The 21,069-nt window shown below is 33.9% G+C and overlaps 1 protein-coding gene across 12 annotated transcripts in view; it reads left to right on the top strand.

The window, feature by feature from the left end:
• Window positions 1-21,069, top strand: part of BOLL (boule RNA binding protein) — a 59,317-nt gene that overhangs the window by 4,189 nt on the left and 34,059 nt on the right. For 11 of the 12 annotated variants that reach the window (NM_197970.3, XM_011511692.4, NM_033030.6 and 8 more), the window contains exons 2-7: window positions 153-296; window positions 2,952-3,043; window positions 4,905-4,959; window positions 6,278-6,353; window positions 10,036-10,163; window positions 15,415-15,486. In NM_197970.3, coding sequence (NP_932074.1) covers window positions 153-296; window positions 2,952-3,043; window positions 4,905-4,959; window positions 6,278-6,353; window positions 10,036-10,163; window positions 15,415-15,486 — 567 coding nt within the window. The remainder of the gene's footprint in view (window positions 1-152; window positions 297-2,951; window positions 3,044-4,904; window positions 4,960-6,277; window positions 6,354-10,035; window positions 10,164-15,414; window positions 15,487-21,069) is intronic. The other variant, NM_001284358.2, reaches the window with a different exon arrangement.

Genomic DNA, 21,069 nt, shown 5'->3' with positions numbered 1-21,069 from the left:
ATTATAATTTTTATAATATTAAAAGTAAAGCCTAGAATACTATATTTTGCCTAAATGACTCTTCTTTTTGAAAAATATATGTTTTTGGTCTGCATCAAAAGCAGACTGCATTATACCCAGTGCAAAAAGTGTAAAAGAATTTTATTTTACAGCAAACATCAAACCAGATGCAAACAGATTCATTATCTCCATCCCCTAATCCTGTGTCACCTGTGCCTTTGAATAACCCAACAAGTGCCCCAAGATATGGAACAGTGATCCCTAATCGCATCTTTGTAGGAGGAATTGATTTTAAGGTACCTATTTATGCATGCAGTAAAGTGTATTTTTTCATTAGAAGTCTTTATTTCTCAGAAATTATTTCTTTGTGCAACTATAAAATAACATATTTGCATAATGATTAACAGATTTTGAATTATCTTATTATAAAGAATCTTTTCAACCAGCATGTAGGTTACATAAAGCATTAAAAACTGTTCAATGTCAGATATAAAGAAATTGATCCTCACTGACTTGCTGTGGGCTGCTAGCCACATAGTGACAGAGTGAGACTAGAAGCCTAGTTTTCTGTCTCATAGCTCCATACTCTTCCATACCAGAACTAATTATACTTTCTTGCCTAATATTCCAATAGCCAAAATAATTGATTATTATAATTTTCAAAAGAGACTCTATTTTTTAAAAACTTACTTTTATGAAATACTATTTCTTTACCCCAACTCTTATCTCAGATTCCTGAGCAACCTCCTAGGCATCTATTCTTTGCAAAGCACTTTCTATGTTAGAATTTAGGATTTGATCACCAAAAAAGTCCTGTGTCCTTGTCAGAATAAAGCATCTTAAAAGTAGTATATTTAAGCAGAAAAAAAAATAACTATTCGGTACTAGGCTTAGTACCTGGGTGCCAAAATAATCTATACAACAAACCCCAATGATGAGTTTATAACAAATCTGCACGTGTACCCCGAACTTAAAATAAAAGTTTTTTAAAAACTAATATATTTATATCATGTAATCAGCCATTCCACTGTTTCAAGAAAGCATAGTTCATGACATGATGTGCAGTGCCCCCCAGCCCACATAGGGGAGGTAAGAGTAAACACCTACAAGAAAGGCATGCATAGATATTTTAAGTGGAATACTCTTACTTTCAAATGGATATATAGAAGGATTTCCAAGCTTCTATTTTACATATTAGAAATTATAGGGAGAGTTATCATTTTCAACAAAAAAAAAACCTTCCTTATGCCATTAGGTGTGATATTTGACATTTATAACTATTTCCATATAACCAATCTGTTACAATTTGGGTGGAATTTCTTTTTTCCTGCACAAGAGAAATGTTACACTTAGTGTATTTGCCAAAACAATGAGTCTTAAACAAGTATATGATTGTTTCACTAAAAATAAAGTAAGAAAAATTATTTCTTATAAAATATTTATTTTTAAAAAGATTTTCTTTGTGGAAAATACTGATAGCTGGCAGAAATGTTCAATTTGGGAATTCATTTATATTACAATAGATTAGCATGTTTTTAAAAATAAGTTATCAATAAATATAAACATTTGTATGGCCAGGTTATTTTAGGTTACTGAAGCCCATCAGCTACAGCATGCACTTTGGAGACGGTTGTTATAATGCAGCCATAGCTTTAAGGTAATTGCTAGGGCTTCCTCCTGTATACTTATACCTTTTTCAAAACCACAGATAAAGGCCAGCAAGGAAATCATTTACTTTAATAGCAAGTAGTCACAGACTTTTTAACCTTTCATTTTTATAAGCAAACAGACTATCCCTCTTAATGCTTACTTTTCTTGACTGTCTCTTTGTCACTAAAGAAGTGGAGCTACAAAATTGAGGTAGTGATTATTCTACCAGAGAATAGTTGGAATTAATTTGTATTCAAATATCTAGTAACAATTCTTATTCTAGCATTGATTTCATTTTCTGTTAACTGAAATAAAAGTCATTCAGTTTTTCTTAGATTGAATCAGTATTTGTCATTATGCAGCTTAGCAGGCTTTATGTTACCAACTAAAAACCAATAGTGTATGTAAGTAGTGAGGTGGCAGTTGAACTCAAAAGGCATAGCTCTGCACTAAGGCATGTCTTTTTGCAGTGTATATAAAGAAATTTTTTTCTAGAGAAAAGTTACTCTTGTAGACAAACAGTTACAGCTAAACCAGGAAATGAAATTGCAATGAATTTAGTGTCAGTATTCTGAGAAAAGGTGATATGAGTCTATTATCAGACTATTTCAATTAAAAAAACAGACATGCCAAAACCATCTTTGTAGACACCTTGTATGCTTTAAATCTAATTATGATTCCAATTTTTATTTTATTATCAAAACAATGTCTGAATTTAGCTGAAATGTATATTGAGTACAGATAAGGAATCTAATAACTTTAAATCTTATAGTCACTCCATTGTTCTCACAGTTGAGTTCAAGCACTTTTGGAAATACATTCCTTTCCTAAAACTGACTTAGGAAAGGAGTTCCTGAGACTACTGATTAAAATAGAATGACTGGTGTAGGCCAACACAACCTAGTTCCACTGCCATGACTGTCTCTGAGCCACAAGAGCCAAAATAGTATTGTACCCTTACTATGGAAATAGCATTCCTAATCCAAATTGGCTTTTTAAAAACTGGCCAGCTAGAGAACAAGAATCATTTAAAGATTTCTTTAAATAGTGAGTTTTGTAGTTTTAAAATAATTCAGCTTACATTTTTATTGGCATATGGTAATTTAACAACATAGCTATTGCATAAAGCAAGATATTTACCTTGATTTTAATCACCTAGTGGTTTATGCACTGTTTTGATGATGAGAGGCATTTTTCATGCATCTTATCTATAACTTTTTCTGTCTCCAGAGCAAGCATGAGAATTATTCATCTTTTATCAACTAAAAATGCTTTTTAACGTTTTCTTTTTATGCCATTAGACAAACGAAAGTGATTTAAGAAAATTTTTTTCCCAGTATGGGTCTGTGAAAGAAGTGAAGATTGTAAATGACAGAGCTGGAGTATCCAAAGGGTTAGTATCACTATAGATTGTCTATGGAATTAGCAACTCTATTTTCATTGGATGACTAGGTTTTGTACGCCAGTTTACTTTGGTTCCATTTTCCAGCAGAGACCATCATGCCCTCTTCTTTCCTCCTACCTTTTGATTTCCTTGTGTGTGTGTGTGTGTGTGTGTGTGTATTTTGGAGGGAGGAGACACTGTAATATTTCTTAATTTGTTGAGAAGTTATTCTTGCATGGGTGGAGGGACCATTCAGTGGTAGGCAGCAAGCACTTAATGTAAGTAGCAGATGTACATTAGCTGAGGAATGAGAAGCAAAAGGAATCAGATTCTTTTGGAATTGTATCCCTGCTTTAGGCCATAGAGAGCTTTATTTGAAAACAGCTGACACCAAGAAATGTCTGTAGGTTGTGCCTCAGAGACCTAATTAGGGGACCAGTATGAGAAATATAATTCTAGTGAGAATGATTTTTAATTGCTATATCAATGATAATGAAAATTGAGAAGAAAGTAATAGACTGTGTCTTTAAATGTGTATAGAGCTGTTTCAGTGGAATGCTATGTGTACAAAGCCAAATTTCAGAAAGGAAAAAGATAGTTTACATAGTACACTCACTTAAGGAGTTGGACTGCAAAGTTAAAAGAAAATAGATAAGGCAGTAAAGTATTGTATTTACTTTCTTGAAAGAGAGACGAGACATACATATTTATAGGCATAAGAAAAGGGACCCATTGAGGTGGTATTGGTGAGAAACAACATTCGACAGATGGATATGCTGGAAGAGATGGGATTCTACAGAAAGGTTATTTATAAACAGATGAGATACTTCCTCAGAATGCCAAACAATATTAAGGTGAAGTGAGATTTACCTCTTTTGTTTGACTAACAGAATTTGCTATGTTTTGGTAATACCATTTTTTAATCATTGGAAAACATACATGGAAATGTAAATGTAAACTGTATTTTATGCCTTTTCCACTGGGTGGCGTGTGTGTTCTACCAAAAAAATAGCGTAAAACTAATTCCTTAACTTTTTAATGTTTGGGCAAATAGATAAAGAGAAATTCCTTTGTTTAAAAGAAGAAACTTTGTATATGATCCAGTAATTATGAATTGAAGAAAATAGTGAAGATATTTAGCATTACTCAGAAGAGTTTACTTAAGTTATCTAAATAGCAATTATGTTTTGAGAGATACATTTTTTCTTTCTTTTGTTACTTTTTTCTCTACCTATTGTGGCTTTTTGGACATGGAGCACATCATTTATGTGTATTTGTATCTTCAACATTATATGAATTGTGCTTGAAGTTAATTATGTATGAAAAACAGATGTGAAATCTGGGTTGTACATATTTTTAATTGATATTGTTTGGGAATATACTAATAATTACATTATCAGTTATATGTGCTAATAATAATAATTAAATAATACATTTACATTGTCATTCACCAATATAAGAAATTTTATTGTGTTGAAATTTTAAATTTTTTAGTTATTTTTCTACTTTGATTTCTCTTAGCCAAACTTCTATTAGTTTAAAAGGAGATTATTGCTCTGGATTGAAATTTATTGCATCCCCAATTTTTAAGCAACAGCATGAATCTCTTGTGCTTTTCTTTCCTGCATACAGCTGAGAGCTGAAGCTGTTTCAAGATCTCAGGGGTTTTTTTTCTTTTAGTTCCTGACTAAAAGTGACAGTGTTAGGCTGTGAATGATTCTTCTAAGATTCCCATGCTAGTGCAGCATAGAAACATGCCTACTCCTACAGTGGCCGATGATTTAAAAACAAAATTTTTAAACATTTTAATATAATTAATATAACATTCTAAGAAAATGATTAATTAGTAATAATTAATGCATTTATTTAGGTATGGTTTCGTCACTTTTGAAACACAAGAAGATGCACAAAAAATTTTACAAGAGGTATGATCTTTTGGTGTATTTAACTTCATTTCTGGAAATTTTGTATTTGAAACTAATCTTTTCGGGGTTCAAATACAATAATCAACTGCTTTTTAAAAAAGGTTTGCATCTTAAGATTGGCATTGGTCTCTAGGAAACTTAATCTGCAGAAGAGCAAATTCCAAAATCACTACAAGTATGGTTGTGAAACTGTAATATAATGTTTCGCTTTATTTACTTAAATTAAGAACTTGGGGATATATCTTTTGCGAAGTGTTAATAGCATTTTGAATGTTTAAAAAACACTACAAATGTGGATTCCAACAGTGAGGTTATCTGAGATGATTTCCCTCCTGTGAAAAACATTATATAAACTAAGAATATTCACAGAAAAAAAGCCTATAGCCAGCAATTCAGTGTAATAACTTTAAGTTAAGGCAAATATAACATTTAACTTTTTTAGAAAAAAAGTAGAATTTGAATTGTATGTTATTAAAATCAAATACAGTCAATTCTTGTTATTTGTGGCAGTTATGTTCTCTAACATTGCTAGGAACACTGAATTAGCAAATGCTGAACTCCTCTTTCTAGGGGAAGTACAAGGTAATGTTCCCAAGAACCTCTGGTCACAATATTGCCATCAACCTATCAATATATAACCTTGTTTTATATGGTTTTCCATTTAAAGGCATCATATATAACAGATTACTGGTTCATTAACATTGAAGCCATGGCCAATAGCACTATAATTCATGCTTGAATTAAGCACATCTAATATATATATTCTCCATAATGCCTATGACAGTCTTCTTGTGCTAGCCAGCACTTCAACAATACACATGGGGGCCATTTTAAATAGCCAAATCACCAACAAAAAGCACAAAAATGGAGAAAACATGGCACTAAATAGAAAGCTCTCTCTTAGAGTATGAGCACTGGAACAAGAAGAAAGAATATCGCCTTATTTGACCTCAACTGGGAGCATGCGCATCAGGCTACTCAAATTTTCCGCCGCTCTTCACGTGTCCACTAATAACCTCAAAATTGCCACAAATATTAATTTTAGGATTACAAGTAAATTTTAGCAAGTAGGCAAATTCACAAATACAGAATCCATGAGTAATGAGGATTGACTGTATTACAAATGGAGAAAATGGGGAATTGCGGTCAGACCCAGATCTATTTCAGTCTGAAGACGGCTCTTTCCCACTATTCCTTGCTGCTTTGAAAGAATATTATAGTCTGAATTTTTGAAATTCTTTCTAACTAGTTTTTCCTTATTGATTTTATAAATAATAGTGCTAAAATAATAAAATAATTTCTTTTTTCTTTATTTTAGGCTGAAAAACTTAATTATAAGGATAAGAAGCTGAACATTGGTCCAGCAATAAGAAAACAACAAGTAGGGATCCCTCGTATGTATTGAGAACTAATGTATTTTTAAATATTTTTGCATGGTTCTTTTTTGAAATATAAGACTTTTTATAGAACTTTATTAAAAGATCATGTTTCTTTCATCTAATAAAGTTATTTTAGCAAAGTTGGTGGAAAAACTGAATATTTTTGCCACAAAATAATATATCTCAATTTTTTTGGCTGGGAAAAAATTTATATACATAAAGATGCTTAAGTATATTCCATGTAGTTACATCATTAAAGGAAAAAAAATCTTTCGTGATGAAAATATCATTTAATATAGCAAAAGTAATTAGAAGTAATTTAATAATTTAGACTTACTAATGAGAAAAATTTTAATTAGAAACTAATTTAAAATTAATCAGAGTAAAAATATTGAAAGTGAAAACATAGAACTAATATCAGAAACTCGCTGCATGCTGTGTACTGTAACCCAGCCAGGTGTGTCATAATTTTCAGGGGGACAATCCCTAAAGCTTTAGGAATTGGCTAAATTATGTATCTACCTTCCTCAAATTTCTCTAATGCTTTCAATTCTATCTTTCCTCACTCTTTCTACTTATTAAGTTAGGCATCTTTATAGTTAACTTTTTACCTTTAATATTTATTAAAATTCCTAACAGTCTTTGGCTAGAAGGAGAAATGTGATGTAAAATTTATAACTAACTTATTTTCCCTTAGCCACATCCTAGTGTCTACGGGAATGTTTAAAACATTAGGTTATTATATATAATCTGTTAACAAATTAATAGATTGTATTCATTTGGACTGTTATGCTTTTGACTTAGAAATAATAGATATTTGGTTAATACAGTTGCCACAACTACAACAAAAAAGAGATTGATGTATATTAAGTTTAATTTTGACTTAGTATTTGTTAATTTAGGAGACAATCAAAGTATCCTCAGTAGGTTAATACAAAATGGAATGCACTAAATATGGCAGAATGCTGAATATTTTCAATCTACTGTTGTTACTTGCAAAGGTTAAGCTAGAACATATAGTAACGGTCCGTTAGCCCATTATCACCAGCAATATGTACTAAATAGTAATGCTCATAGTATGATCTACCAGTTGCTGAAATAGAAAATAAATCAGCACTATGCTGAATGCTTTCACATATACAAATAGTTTTTTCAAAACTACTTAGTGCAAGGGTCAATGTTATGAGTTTTCATTTAATCTTCATAGAATCCCATGATGTATTGTTATCTCTATTTTTGTAAATAGAAAATTCAATCCCAAAAAGATAAAGTCATTGTTTTAAAAATGTTTCTGCTGAAATACTCCTAAAGGTAGAGGAGAGTTAATCTTGGCATGTTGTGGTTCCTAACCCACTGCAGCATACTGGAATTGCAAATTTTCTTTAAAGTCTCATGATTTATGCAAAAACATCATGTATAATTTGCATTCTGTTCCATAATATCATATTGTTTATTTGAATATAAAAATATTTCCCAAAAACAATTGAATAAAACTGATTCTGTAGGAAGATTACTATGTTCAGCCTCTGCTTTTTCATATCTCCTGGTATACCATCCATCCCTTATCCAACTTTAAGAAGTATGGGGTTAAATAGCCTAATGGTGAGTGGTAGCACTAGCCTTCAAATGCAGGACTGTTTGACTCCAAAGTTCTTTTGACTTTTCTGCGAAGAAAAATAGGTGTTAAAAGTACATTTACAAATAAGGGATTCTTATCTTAGTTTTTTCTTAGATCTGTCATTTCTTTCCATCTCCATTACCAACACCCGAGTCCCAACTAACCACTTTGTTTACCTTAATTCCTGGAAAAACATCCTAAGTGGTCTCTCTGAATCCAATCTTTCTACCTTCCAATCCATCATTCACAAGGCAGCCAGAGTGATCTTTCAAAAGTGCACCTCTTATTGTCTTATGCTCAGCTTATTTTGAGGTATTCTTCCCTTTTCTTTCCATGCTTTAGCCATGTAGCCTTCTTTCAGTTCCAGAACATTCTATACTCCTGTTCTCAGAATCTAATATACTGTTTTCTTTACCTAGAATGTACTTTGCCATCCAATTCATTCTTTAGAGCTTAGCTGAACATCATTTCATCACAAATTTTCCATATATATGTATATAGAGAGAAATTTTATATATGTTTTGTATACATAATAATTGAAATGTTCAGTATCGTACCCTATAATGCCTCATGTATTTATCAAAATTGTATTTAATTAATTAATTGTGTAATCAACTAATGACTATCTTCACTACCAGACCTAACTTCTTTGAGGATACAGACCATCTCATGTCTAATTTTTTTATTTTTTGCTGTATCACTAGGGCCCTGTTCAATGCCTTGAAATAGTATGCACTGAAAATTTATTTATTTAGCAGGTAAAGCATGGTTCATTTTCTTTGAATAATGAACCATTATTGAATAATGAACCATTATCATTATCTTTGAATAATAGTGGAATATCTTTTGGGGGGAATCCATGGACCTCCAAAATTGTGTGTAAAATTGTGTTTGACTGTATATATATCTGAGGAAAAGGTCCCTGATTTTCATCAAATTCTCAAAAGGATCTAATTAAGAACCATTAAAATAAATAATAACAATACTAGATCAAATGCAGTGAAAATATAAAAGCTGAGGAGCAATAGTATTATTTAAAGTGGTAGGCCCATGCTATTTGAAGTGTGGTTTGCAGACAGTGTCATTTCATTGGAAGCTGTCAAAATGCAAATTCTTAGGCCCTGTCCCAGATTTACTGACTCAAAATCTCTGAAGATAAGTCCCTGGAATTTGCATTTTAGAAAACAATTTAAGTGATTCTAATTTATGGGAAATTTTGAGAAGCACTGGTATAGGTGGAAGAATTGTCAGTTTCACTAATTTATATAACCTTGCTGGTTAAGACCTAATCTAATTTGGCTAATTTAACTTTTAAAGTCTCCTCAATGACAAAAAATATATATATATCTATGTATATTATTTACTGTTTTTTGGTTTGTGGTGGGGGTTTATATAACTTGGCCCGGGAAAAGAGTTGGGGACCCCAGACTAGCCACATGAAGACTTGCGGTCATGTTTGCAACAGCAGCAGTTGTAGCAAAGGGAGACTAGATAGAGAATAGATCATAGAAAAGAGAGATAAAAGACAGCCATAGCATGAACGAATGTTTGCTGGTAGGATATCCAAAGAATTAGTAGGGTGGAACCAAAATGTCTTCAGGAAAGTAGAATCTTCTCCAACTTTACTGCCTCCATCATCTTTGGACTTTCAGAAATAAAAGGTCTAGCCAAGACCTTAGGAACTTCACTACAGTGTATGTTGTCTTGAAGTAACTTTAAATTATACATAATTTATATTTGTACAAATAATTACTTCGCTGATGATAGTCTAAATTGTTCAGCTTTGTGTAGCATACTGGTGTTGGAATCTGAATTGATACATTTTTGGTATTTCTTATTCGTATTGTTTTTCTTTTCTTTTAATCATCTTAAACTAAAAGCTTTAAGGTATTGAGTTTAAAAATACAGGCTTCAAAGATACTTTGACATAAGGAATTTTTTAAAAATATCTGTGACATTCAATTTTTACCATAGCTACATAGGTATATTAAGATAAATATTTTTCTGAAGTGTTTAGAAACTACATTTTTAACAGTTAAATTGAACATTTCAATTATTATTATTTAATCTTTGCTTTAGGTTCTAGTATAATGCCAGCAGCTGGAACAATGTATCTAACAACTTCAACTGGATATCCTTATACTTACCATAATGGTGTTGCTTATTTTCATACTCCAGAGGTAACTTCGGTCCCACCGCCTTGGCCTGTAAGTAATTTCATTTAAAAAAGGATTTCCATCTATTACTATCAATTTTTTAATGTTTGTTATATTTCTGAAATATCTTAACCACAGATAATTACAAATAATAACACACATCAACCAAATTAAATAGACATCAACATTTTGCCACATTTACTTAAGTTCTTAAAATGGGGAGTAAAGTAAGACAGCTTCAGGTCAATTCTCCTTACCCCCACTTCCTTACCCTCTTTCCTGTTCAAAAGTAAGCAGAATATCTTTCCTATTCATTTTATATATTTTTACTACAAATATATGTATTCATAAATGACATATAGTACTGCTTTAGTGGTTTTTATTTTTTATTTTTTGCATTTCTTTTTTTTATATACTTTAAGTTCTAGGGTACATGTGCACAACGTGCAGGTTTGTTACATATGTATACATGTGCCATGTTGGTGTGCTGTACCTGTTAACTCGTCATTTACATTAGGTACATCTCCTAATGCTATCCCTCCCCCCTCCCCCCACCCCACAACAGGCCCTGGTGTGTGATGGTCCCCATCCTCTGTCCAAGTGTTCTCATTGTTCAATTCCCACCTATGAGTGAGACCATATGGTGTTTGGTTTTCTGTCCTTGCAATAGCTTGCTCAGAATGATGGTTTCCAGCTTCATCCATATCCCTGCAAAGCACACGAACTCATCCTTTTTATGGCTGCATAGTATTCCATTGTGTATATGTGCCACATTTTCTTAATCCACTCTATCATTGATGGGCATTTGGGTTGGTTCCAAGTCTTTGCTATTGTGAATAGTGCCGCAGTAAACATACGTTTACATGTTTCTTTATAGCAGCATGATTTATAATCCTATGGGTATATACCCAGTAATGGGATGGCTGGGTCAAATGGTATTTCTAGTTCTAGATCCTTGAGAAATCGCCACACTGACTTCCACAATGGTTGAACTAGTTTACACTCCCACCAACAGTGTAAAAGTGCTCCTATTTCTCCATATCCCCTCCAGCACCTGTTGTTTCCTGACTTTTTAATGATCGCCATTCTAACTGATGTGAGATGGTATCTCACTGTGGTTTTGATTTGCATTTCTCTGATGGCCAGTGATGATGAGCATTTTTTCATGTGTCTTTTGGCTGCATAAATGTCTTCTTTTAAGAAGTGTCTGTTAATATCCTTCACCCACTTTTTGATGGGGTTGTTTGATTTTTTTCTTGTAAGTTTGTTTAAGTTCTTAGTAGATTCTGGATATTAGCCCTTTGTCAGATGGGTAGATTGCAAAAATTTTCTCCCATTCTGTAGGTTGCCTGTTCACTCTGATGGCAGTTTCTTTTGCTGTGCAGAAGCTCTTTAGTTTAATTAGATCCCATTTGTCAATTTTGGATTTGTGGCCATGGCTTTTGGTGTTTTAGACATGAAGTCCTTGCCCATGCCTATATCCTGAATGGTATTGCCTAGGTTTTCTCCTAGGGTTTTTATGGTTTTGGGTCTAACATTTGAAGTCTTTAATCTATCTTGAATTAATTTTTGTATAAGGTGTAAGGAAGGGATCCAGTTTCAGCTTTCTACATATGGCTAGCCAGTTTTCCTAGCACCATTTATTAAATAGGGAATCCTTTCCCCATTTCTTGTTTTTGTCAGGTTTGTCAAATATCAGATGGTTGTAGATGTGTAGTGTTATTTCTGAGGCCTCTGTTCTGTTGGTCTATATCTCTGTTTTGGTACCAGTACTATGCTGTTTTGGTTACTGTAGCCTTGTAGTATAGTTTGAAGTCAGCTAGCGTGATGCCTCCAGCTTTGTTCTTTTTGCTTAAGATTGTCTTGGCAATGTGGGCTCTTTTTTGGTTCCATATGAACTTTAAAGTAGTTTCTTCCAATTCTGTGAAGAAAGTCATTGGTAGCTTGATGGGGATGGCATTGAATCTATAAATTACCTTGGGCAGTATGGCCATTTTCACAATATTGATTCTTCCTATCCATGAGCACGGAATGTTCTCCCATTTGTTTGTGTCCTCTTTTATTTCGTTGAGCAGTGGTTTGTAGTTCTCCTTGAAGAGGTCCTTCACATCCCTTGTAAGTTGGATTCCTAGGTATTTTATTCTCTTTGAAGCAATTGTGAATGGGCGTTCACCCATGGTTTGGCTCTCTGTTTGTCTGTTATTGTGTATAGGAATGCTTGTGATTTTTGCACATCGATTTTGTATCCTGAGACTTTGCTGAAGTTGCTTATCAGCTTAAGGAGATTTTGGGCTGAGATGATGGGGTTTTCTAAATATACAATCATGTCATCTGCAAAGAGGGACAATTTGACTTCCTCTTTTCCTAATTGAATACCCTTTATTTCTTTCTCCTGCCTGATTGCCCTGGCCAGAACTTTCAACACTGTGTTGAATAGGAGTGAAGAGAGAGGGCTCTACGCCAATAAACTAGAAAATCTAGAAGAAATGGATAAATTCCTGGACACATACACCCTCCCAAGACTAAACCAGGAAGAAGTTGAATCTCTGAATAGGCCAATAACAGGCTCTGAAATTGAGGCAATCATTAATAGACTACCAAATAAAAAAATTCCAGGACCAGACAGATTCACAGCCGAATTTTACCAGAGGTACAAAGAGGAGCTGGTACCATTCCTTCTGAAGCTATTTCAATCAATAGATAAAGAGAGAATCCTCCCTAACTCATTTTATGAGGCCAGCATCATCCTGATACCAAAGCCTGGCAGAGACACAACAAAAAAAGAGAATTTTAGACCAATATCCTTGATGAACATTGATGCAAAAATCCTCAATAAAATACTGGCAAACCGAATCCAGCAGCACATCAAAAAGCTTATCCACCATAATCAAGTTGGCTTCATCCCTGGGATGCAAGGCTGGTTCAACATCACGAATCAATAAACATAATCCATCACATAAACAGACCCAACGACAAAAACCACATGATTAATCTCAATAGATGCAGGAAAGGCCTTCGACAAAATTCAACAGCCCTTCATGCTAAAAACTCTCAATAAACTAGGTATTGATGGAACGTATCTCAAAATAATAAGAGCTATTTATGATAAACCCACAGTCAGTATCATACTAGATGGGCAAAAACTGGAAGTATTCCCTTTGAAAACTGGCACAAGATTTTTTCTTCTTTTTTAGTTTTTTGTTTTTTACTACAAGAATATATGCTATTTTTTATTTTTAATGCTATAGTATTGCCACTTTTCACTTCTAGATCTTAAATCTTGAATTTATGTATCGACTAATCCACCTATTTCCTGCTATTTTGAAATTAATCCTCTGCCAAACACTAAGTTTCCATGTGTGTGGGTCTTTTTTCTGCTATTTTGTTCCATTGGTGTATTTGTTCACCTTGCCCAGTTGTAATTATTTTGACTTTATAACGAGTCTTGAAATCTTAAAGTACATTGTTCATCTTCAGGAGTCTCTCATCTATCCTTATGTCTTTGCTTTTATGTGTATAAATTTTTTAATTCAGTTTGTTTAGTTCAGTGAAAAGCCCTTTTTTTTATTAGAATTGCATTAAATAGTGTGAATAACTTGGGACATTTCAGTATTTTAAAATATTGAATCTTCCTATCCATGAACATGATACATCTCTCCATTTATTTGTCTTATTTTACTTCTATCCATAAAAAAGTTTTCTTTCTCCATAAAAAAGCGTGACACATTTTGTCAAATTTATTCTTAGTAGACTATAGTTTTGTTGCTTTAATGAATGCTGTTTTTTAAATAACATTTCCTAATAGATTGTAGCTGGTGTATAGTAATGCTCTTGATTTTTCAATAGTGATAATCTATCAGTAACCCTGCCAAACTCTCATTTACACAATTATTTATGATTCAGTGTACTTCTATTTCTTTCACTTCTTTTTTTCCTGGAGTTTTTGCACTGACCATGTCTCTGCTACAGTATTGATGTAGTGAAAACATCATGACCTTGTTCTTGAAAAAGGGAGCAATTTCAGTGATTCACCATTAAACTTTACATGTATGCATGCATGTATACATACATATATAGACACACACACGCATACTTTGTAAGTGGGAAGATACTCTTAACCAGACTTTCTCAATCTTAGCACTGTTGACATTTTGAGCCAGATTATTTCTTTGCTGTGAAGGTCTGTCCTGTGCACTGTAGGATGTTTAGAAGTATCCCTAGGCTCCCCATAGTTATGATAATCAAAAATGTCTCCCAACATTGCCAGATGTTCCCTATAGGACAAAATCACTCATGGTTGAGAGTTACTGCCCTAAATCAATTAAGGAAGCCATTTTCTACCATGTTTGTTAAGAGTTTTTAATCATAAAAAGGTATGGAATTTTAACAAATGCATTTTCTGTCTCTGTTGAAATTACCATTTTTTCTCCTTTAATCTATTAATATGGGAAATTACATTATTATTTTCTAATGTTAATCAGTGATACAGTTTTATTAGCATACCATAGTCTGTGAATTGTACAAAACTGTGATACTTTTCCTCAGTTTCGGGGGTGCAAACATTAAACAAAACAATATAAGTTAGATCCCACATTAGACACTGAATTTTAATTGCTACATTAGAGCCAGTTTTACTATCTTGCAATACAACTTGCCTGTTTTATTAAAGATCTGGTTTTAAGTAATCTGTTTTGGGGCTTACTCTTTCACTTTGAATAATCAAGTGTTACCTGTACTTTTTTCAGCACAGATTTTTCACTTGTAAGTTTATCAAACTATTAACTCTTTTAAATGTCAAATTACTAAAATAAAAATAAAATATCTTTGCTTTAATTATAGGTATAACAAAGGAATAGAACATTGATTATTTGTAACTAGTGGGAAAATTAGATACGACTATTCATTCAGTTCTAAACACTATTATAAACATTAACTGTTTCCTGCTGGTCCCCACAATGGAAACAGGCAGCGTCACCCTAAGTCTTGCTGTCATTTTCCTCTAAGTATTCTCTTATAACTATATTTTCATAATCTTTGGAGATGGTACATTTCAGACTAAAAACAACTTTTCTGGTGATTGTTTTAGCATTACTATGGAAATGAAACCACGTAGAAGTAGAAATATTGTGATGATTTTAATAGACTTAGTAGAGTTGGTAATCATATCAATAAGAGGTAGAAAAATAATATTTCTAATCATAAACCAGAAGTTTACTGGGTTTAGGTAATAATTTGAGATAAATTTTATTGTGAGCTATTTTAAAGGCTTCTGCCTAATTTTTCTTTTTCCATCCTTTTATAGTCACGTTCTGTATGTAGCTCCCCTGTGATGGTAGCTCAGCCCATTTATCAGCAACCTGCATATCACTACCAGGTAAACATAAATTACAATTAAAATTCTCTCTGAAACTTTCAGTCCTTTCTTAGCTAACTTTCATTTATTTCTTTCTCATGCAACTACTTTGCTAATTACAAAGAGATAGTTCATTAGAGAAATGTGAATCAAAACCACATTGATATACCATCTCACACCAGTCAGAATGGCTATTATTAAAAAGTCAAAAATAGCAGATGCTGGCGAGGTTACAGAGAATAGGAACACTTATACACTGTTGGTTGGAGTGTAAATTAGTTCAACCATTGTGGAAAGCAGTATGGAGATTCCTCAAAGAACTAAAAGCAGAACTACCATTAGACCCGTTACTGGGTATATAGCCAGAGGAATATAAATCATTCTACCATAAAGACACATGCATGCGAATGTTCATTGCAGCACTATTCACAATAGCAAAGACATGGAATGCCTATCAATGACAGATGGATAAAGAAAATGTGGTACATATACACCAAGGAATATTATGCAGCCATAAAAAACAATGAGATCATATATTTTGCAGGGACATGGATGGAGCCAGAGGCCATTATCCTTAGCAAACTGACACAGGAACAGAAAACCAAATAACCACATGTTCTTACTTATAAGTGTGAGCTAAATGATGAGAACTCATGAACGTAAAGAAGGGAACAGTAGACACTGGGGTCTACTTGAGGGTGGAGGGTGGGAAGAGGGAGAAGAGCAGAAAAGATAACTATTGGGTACTGGGCTATGAAATAATTTGTGTAACAACCTCCTGTGACACGAGTTTACCTATGTAACAAACCTTCACATGTACCCCTGAACCTAAAATAAAAGTTTTAAAAATAAGTAAAATAAAATAAATGATTAGTTAGAAAATAAAAAATAAAAAAGAGATAGTTAATCCTTGGTAGTGTTTTTTTTTTAATTTTTTTTCATTGACAAATGATAATTATACCTATTCATGGGGTATGTAGTGATGTTTTGATACATGTAATATGGTGATCAAATCAGAGTAATTAGCATATCCATCATCTCAAACATTTATCATTTCTTTGTGTTGGGAGCATTCAATAGCCTCCTAGCTATTTGAAACTATGTATTATTGTTAACTATAGTCATCCTATAGTGGTATAAAACATTAGAACTTATTCCTCCTATCTAGCTGTAATTTTGGAGGTGTTTTGGATTTTTTGTTGTTTTTTTTTTAATTTTTATTTCCATAGGTTTGTGGGGAACAGATGGTATTTGGTTACATGAGTAAGTTCTTTAATGGTGATTTGTGAGATTTTGATGCACCCATCACCCGAGCAGTATACAGTGAACACAATTTGTAGTCTTTTATCCCTCACCCTCTTCCTACTCCTTCTCCCTAAGTCTCCAAAGTCCATTGTATCATTCTTATGCCTTTGCATACTCATAGCTTAGCTCCCACTTATGAGTGAGAACATAGGATGTTTGGTTTTCCATTCCTGAGGTAGCTGTAATTTTGTATCCTTTCACAAACCTCTCCCTATTCCTCCTTTCCCTCTATCCTTCTCAGCCCCTAGTATTCTTTTTACTTCTATGAGATCAACTTTTTTTTTTTGTAACACATGGTACTCTTTATTGTGATGCTCAGTGGAAAACATCTGTAAACCAGCTTACTGTAGTGATGACAGTTGCAACTCATGCTAAGGCAGTTTTATTATATAAAAAAGGGATTAGGGTAGGAGTTACATTCATTTCTTTGTGACAGCAATGGGACCTGAATTCAGAGCTTTGTAGGCATATGCAACATTTACATCACTTCATGATTTGAGAGTTTGTTTCCTTTAACAACAACAACAACAAAAATGCCTTCTTGCCATATGTAAGTCTAAATGCAGCATATACAAAAACAGGAATACAAGTAAATTCAGCAACCAGTGTAGACCAGCAGAGGATAAGCTACTCTCTTCTGAACATGGTTTGGAAGGCAGTGAAAAAGACTTGGAATTTTATCACTTATTACAAGAAAGGGGGAAAAATAAAACTTGTTTCTTTCAAAAATATCTGTGCAGGTGGCAGATTTTTGAGATCAGTGTTTTTTAGCTTCCATATATGAGTGAGAACATGTGTTGTTTAACTTTCTGTTCCTGGCTTATTTCATTTAACGTAATGACCTCCAGTTCCATCCATGTTGCCATGAGTGATAGGATTTTATTCTTTTTTATAGCCAAATAGTATTCCATTGTGTATATATATACCATATTTTCTTTATTCATCTGTTGTTGGACACCCAGGTTGATTTCATATTTTGGCTATTGTGAATAATGCTGTAATAAACATGGGGGTGCAGATGTCTCTCTGATACAATGATTTCCTTTTCTCCAAATAAATTCCCAGTAGTGGGATTACCAGATCATATGGTAGTTCTATTTGTAGTTTCTTCAGGGATCTCCATACTGTTTTCCATAGTGGTTGTACTAGTTTGCATTCCTAGTAACAGTGTATAAGAGTTCCCTTTTCTCTACATCCTCACCAGGGTTTGTTATTTTCTCTTTTTGACAATAAACATCCTAACTGGGGTAGATAATACCTCATTGTGGTTTTGATTTACAGTTTCCTGATAATTAGTGATGTTGATCATTTTTTCATGTATTTGTTAGCCATTTCTTTGTCTTCTTTTGAGAAATGTCTATTCAGATCATTTGCCCATTTTTAATCAGTTTATTTTTTGTTTATTTTGCTGTTGAGATGTCTCAGTTCCTTGTAAATTTTGGGTATTAATTCTGTGTCAGATAAGTAGTTTACAGATGTTTTCTCCCATTCAACAGGTCGTCTGTTCACTCTGTTGATTGTTTTATTCACTGTGCAGGAACTTTTTAGTTTAATATAATCAAACTAATGGGATGAATTAGGGAGAATTCCCTCTGCTTCAATTTTTTGGAATAGTTTGGGAAGATCTGGTATTCTTCTCTAAAGGTTTGGTAGAATTCAGCCATGTAGTTCTGGACTTTTCTTTGTTGGAAGACGTTTTAATTACTGATTCAATCTTGTTACTTAAATTTGTTTCTTAAGGTTTTCTTTCTTTTTTTTTTTTTTTTTTAAGACGGACTCTCTGTCGCCCAGGCTGGAGTGTGCAGTGGTGCAATCTCTGCTCGCTGCAAGCTCCGCCTCCCAGGTTCATGTCATTCTCCTGCCTCAGCCTTCCGAGTAGCTGGGACTACAGGCGCCCGCCACTACACCCGGCTAATTTTTTGTATTTTTAGTAGAGACGGGGTTTCACCCTGTTAGCCAGGATGGTCTCGATCTCCTGACCTCGTGATCTGCCCGCCTCGGCCTCCCAAAGTGCTGGGATTACAGGCGTCAGCCACCGTGCCCGGCCTTGTTTCTTAAGGTTTTCAATTTCTTCAGTCTTGGTTTAGTCTTGGCAGATTGTATATGTTCAGGAATTTATCCGTTTCTTCTAGGTTTCCTAATTTATTTGCATAGAGTTGTTCATATTAGCCTCTAATGATCCTTTGTATTTCTGTGGTATTCATTGTGGTGTCTTTTTCATTGCTGATTTTATTTATTTGGGTCTACTTTCTTTTTTTTCTTAGACTAGCTAATGGTTTGTCGATTTTATCTTTTTAAAAAGTCAACCTTTTGTTTTGTTAATCTTTTGTATTGTTTTGTAGTCTCAACATTGTTTATTTCTGCCCTGATTATTACTATTTCTTTTCTTCTACTAATTTTGGGTTTAGCTTGTTCTTGCTCTTCTAGTTCCTAGAGGTACATTGTAAGGGTGTTTATTTGAAATATTTCTAGTTTTTTGATGTAAGCATTCATTGTTATAAATTTGCCTCTTAATACTGCTACTGTTGTGTCCCATAGGTTTTGGTATGCTGTGTTTCTATTTTCATTCTTAATTTCTTCCTTCACCCACTGGTCATTCAGCAGTATGTTGCTTAATTTCCATGAATTTGTATAGTTTTGAATGTTTTTCTTGTTATTGATATCTTGTTTTATTCCATTGTGGTCAGATAAGATACTTTATATAATTTCAGTTTTTTTTAATTTTTTGAGACTTGTTTTGTTTCCTGAAATATGGTAATTCTGGAGAATGTTTTATATCCTGATGAAAAGAAAGTATATTCTGCAGCTGTTCAGTTAAATGTTCTCTAAATGGCTGTTAGGTCTGTTTGGCCTATGGTGCAGTTTAAATCCATGTTTCTTTGTTTCTTTTCTTTTTTTCTTTTTGAGAAGGAATCTCGCTCTGTCACCCAGGCTAAAGTGCAATGGCATGATCTCGGCTCACTGCAACCTCCGCCTCCCAGGTTCAAGCAATTCTCCTGCCTCAGCCTCCTCGGTAGCTGGGATTACAGTTGCATGCCACCACGCCTGGCCAATTTTTGTATTTTTAGTAGAGACGGGGTTTCACCATATTGGTCAGGCCGGTCTCGAACTCCTGACCTTGTGATCTGCCCACCTCGGCCTCCCAAAGTGCTGGCACTACAGGTGTGAGCCACTGTGCCCGGCCTGTTTATTTTCTTTCTAGATAATCTGTCCAATGCTGAGAGTGGGGTGTTGAAGTCCCCAACCACTATTTTATTGGGGTTTCTCCCTCTCTCTTTAGATCAAATAAGACTTGCTTTATATATCTGGGTGCTTTTTGTTGGGTACATATGTATTACATTGTTATATTCTCTTGCGGAATTGATCCCTATATTATTATATAAATGTCCTTCTTTGTCTCTTTTTAAAACTTTTAACTTGAAGTTGGTTTTGTCTGATATAAGTATAGCTACTCTTGCCTGCTTTGGTTTCCATTTGCATGAAACATGTCTTTCCATCCCTTCACTTTCAGCCTATGTGTGTCTTTACAGGTAAGGTGAGTTTCTTTTAGGTAGCATATAGTTGGGTCTCTTTTTTTAATATATTCAGCTAGTCTCTATCTTTTAAATGGAGAATTTAACCCATTTGCATTCAGGGTTATTATTGATAGGTGAGGACATCCTGTCATTTTATTTATCATTTTCTGGTTATTTTGCATATCTTTTGTTCATTGTTCCCTCTCTTTTTGGTGATTTTTTGCAGCTGGGTTCTCTGTAATTATAAGGCTTGATTCTTTTCTTCTTTTTGTCCTTTGTGTAATGGCTGTCCCAGTGAATTTTATAGTTTTGCATGTTTCATGATCGTTGTTACCATCCTTTCACTTCCTGATGTGAGACTCCCTTGAGTATTTTTTTTGTAAGGCCAATCTAGTGGTGATAAATTCTCTCAGTTTTTGCTTGTCTATGAAAGAGCTGGTTTTTTTAGAGACAGAGTATAGTGACATGATCATAGCTCACTGCAGTGTCAAACTCGTGAGCTCAAGTAATCCCTCCCACCTTAGCCTGCCACACAGCTGAGACTACAGGCATGTGCCCTGCCTGCTAATTTTTTTTAAGAGATAGGGTCTTGCTATGTTGCCCAGGCTGGTCTCAAATTCCTGGGCTCAGGCAATCTTCCTGCCTTAGTCTCCCAAAGCACTGGGATTACAAGTATGAGCCACCACACCTGGCCTTGTGAAAGATCGTATTTCTCCTTCATTTCTGAAGGATAGCTTTACTGGGTATAATATTCTTGGCTGGCAGGTTTTTTTCCTTCAATATT

The sequence above is a fragment of the Homo sapiens genome, chromosome 2, assembly GCF_000001405.40.
Source record: "Homo sapiens chromosome 2, GRCh38.p14 Primary Assembly".
In the NCBI taxonomy this organism is placed as follows: Eukaryota; Metazoa; Chordata; class Mammalia; order Primates; family Hominidae; genus Homo; species Homo sapiens.
Note: the sequence above shows the minus strand (reverse complement) of the source record. Positions and strands in the feature narration are given on the sequence as shown.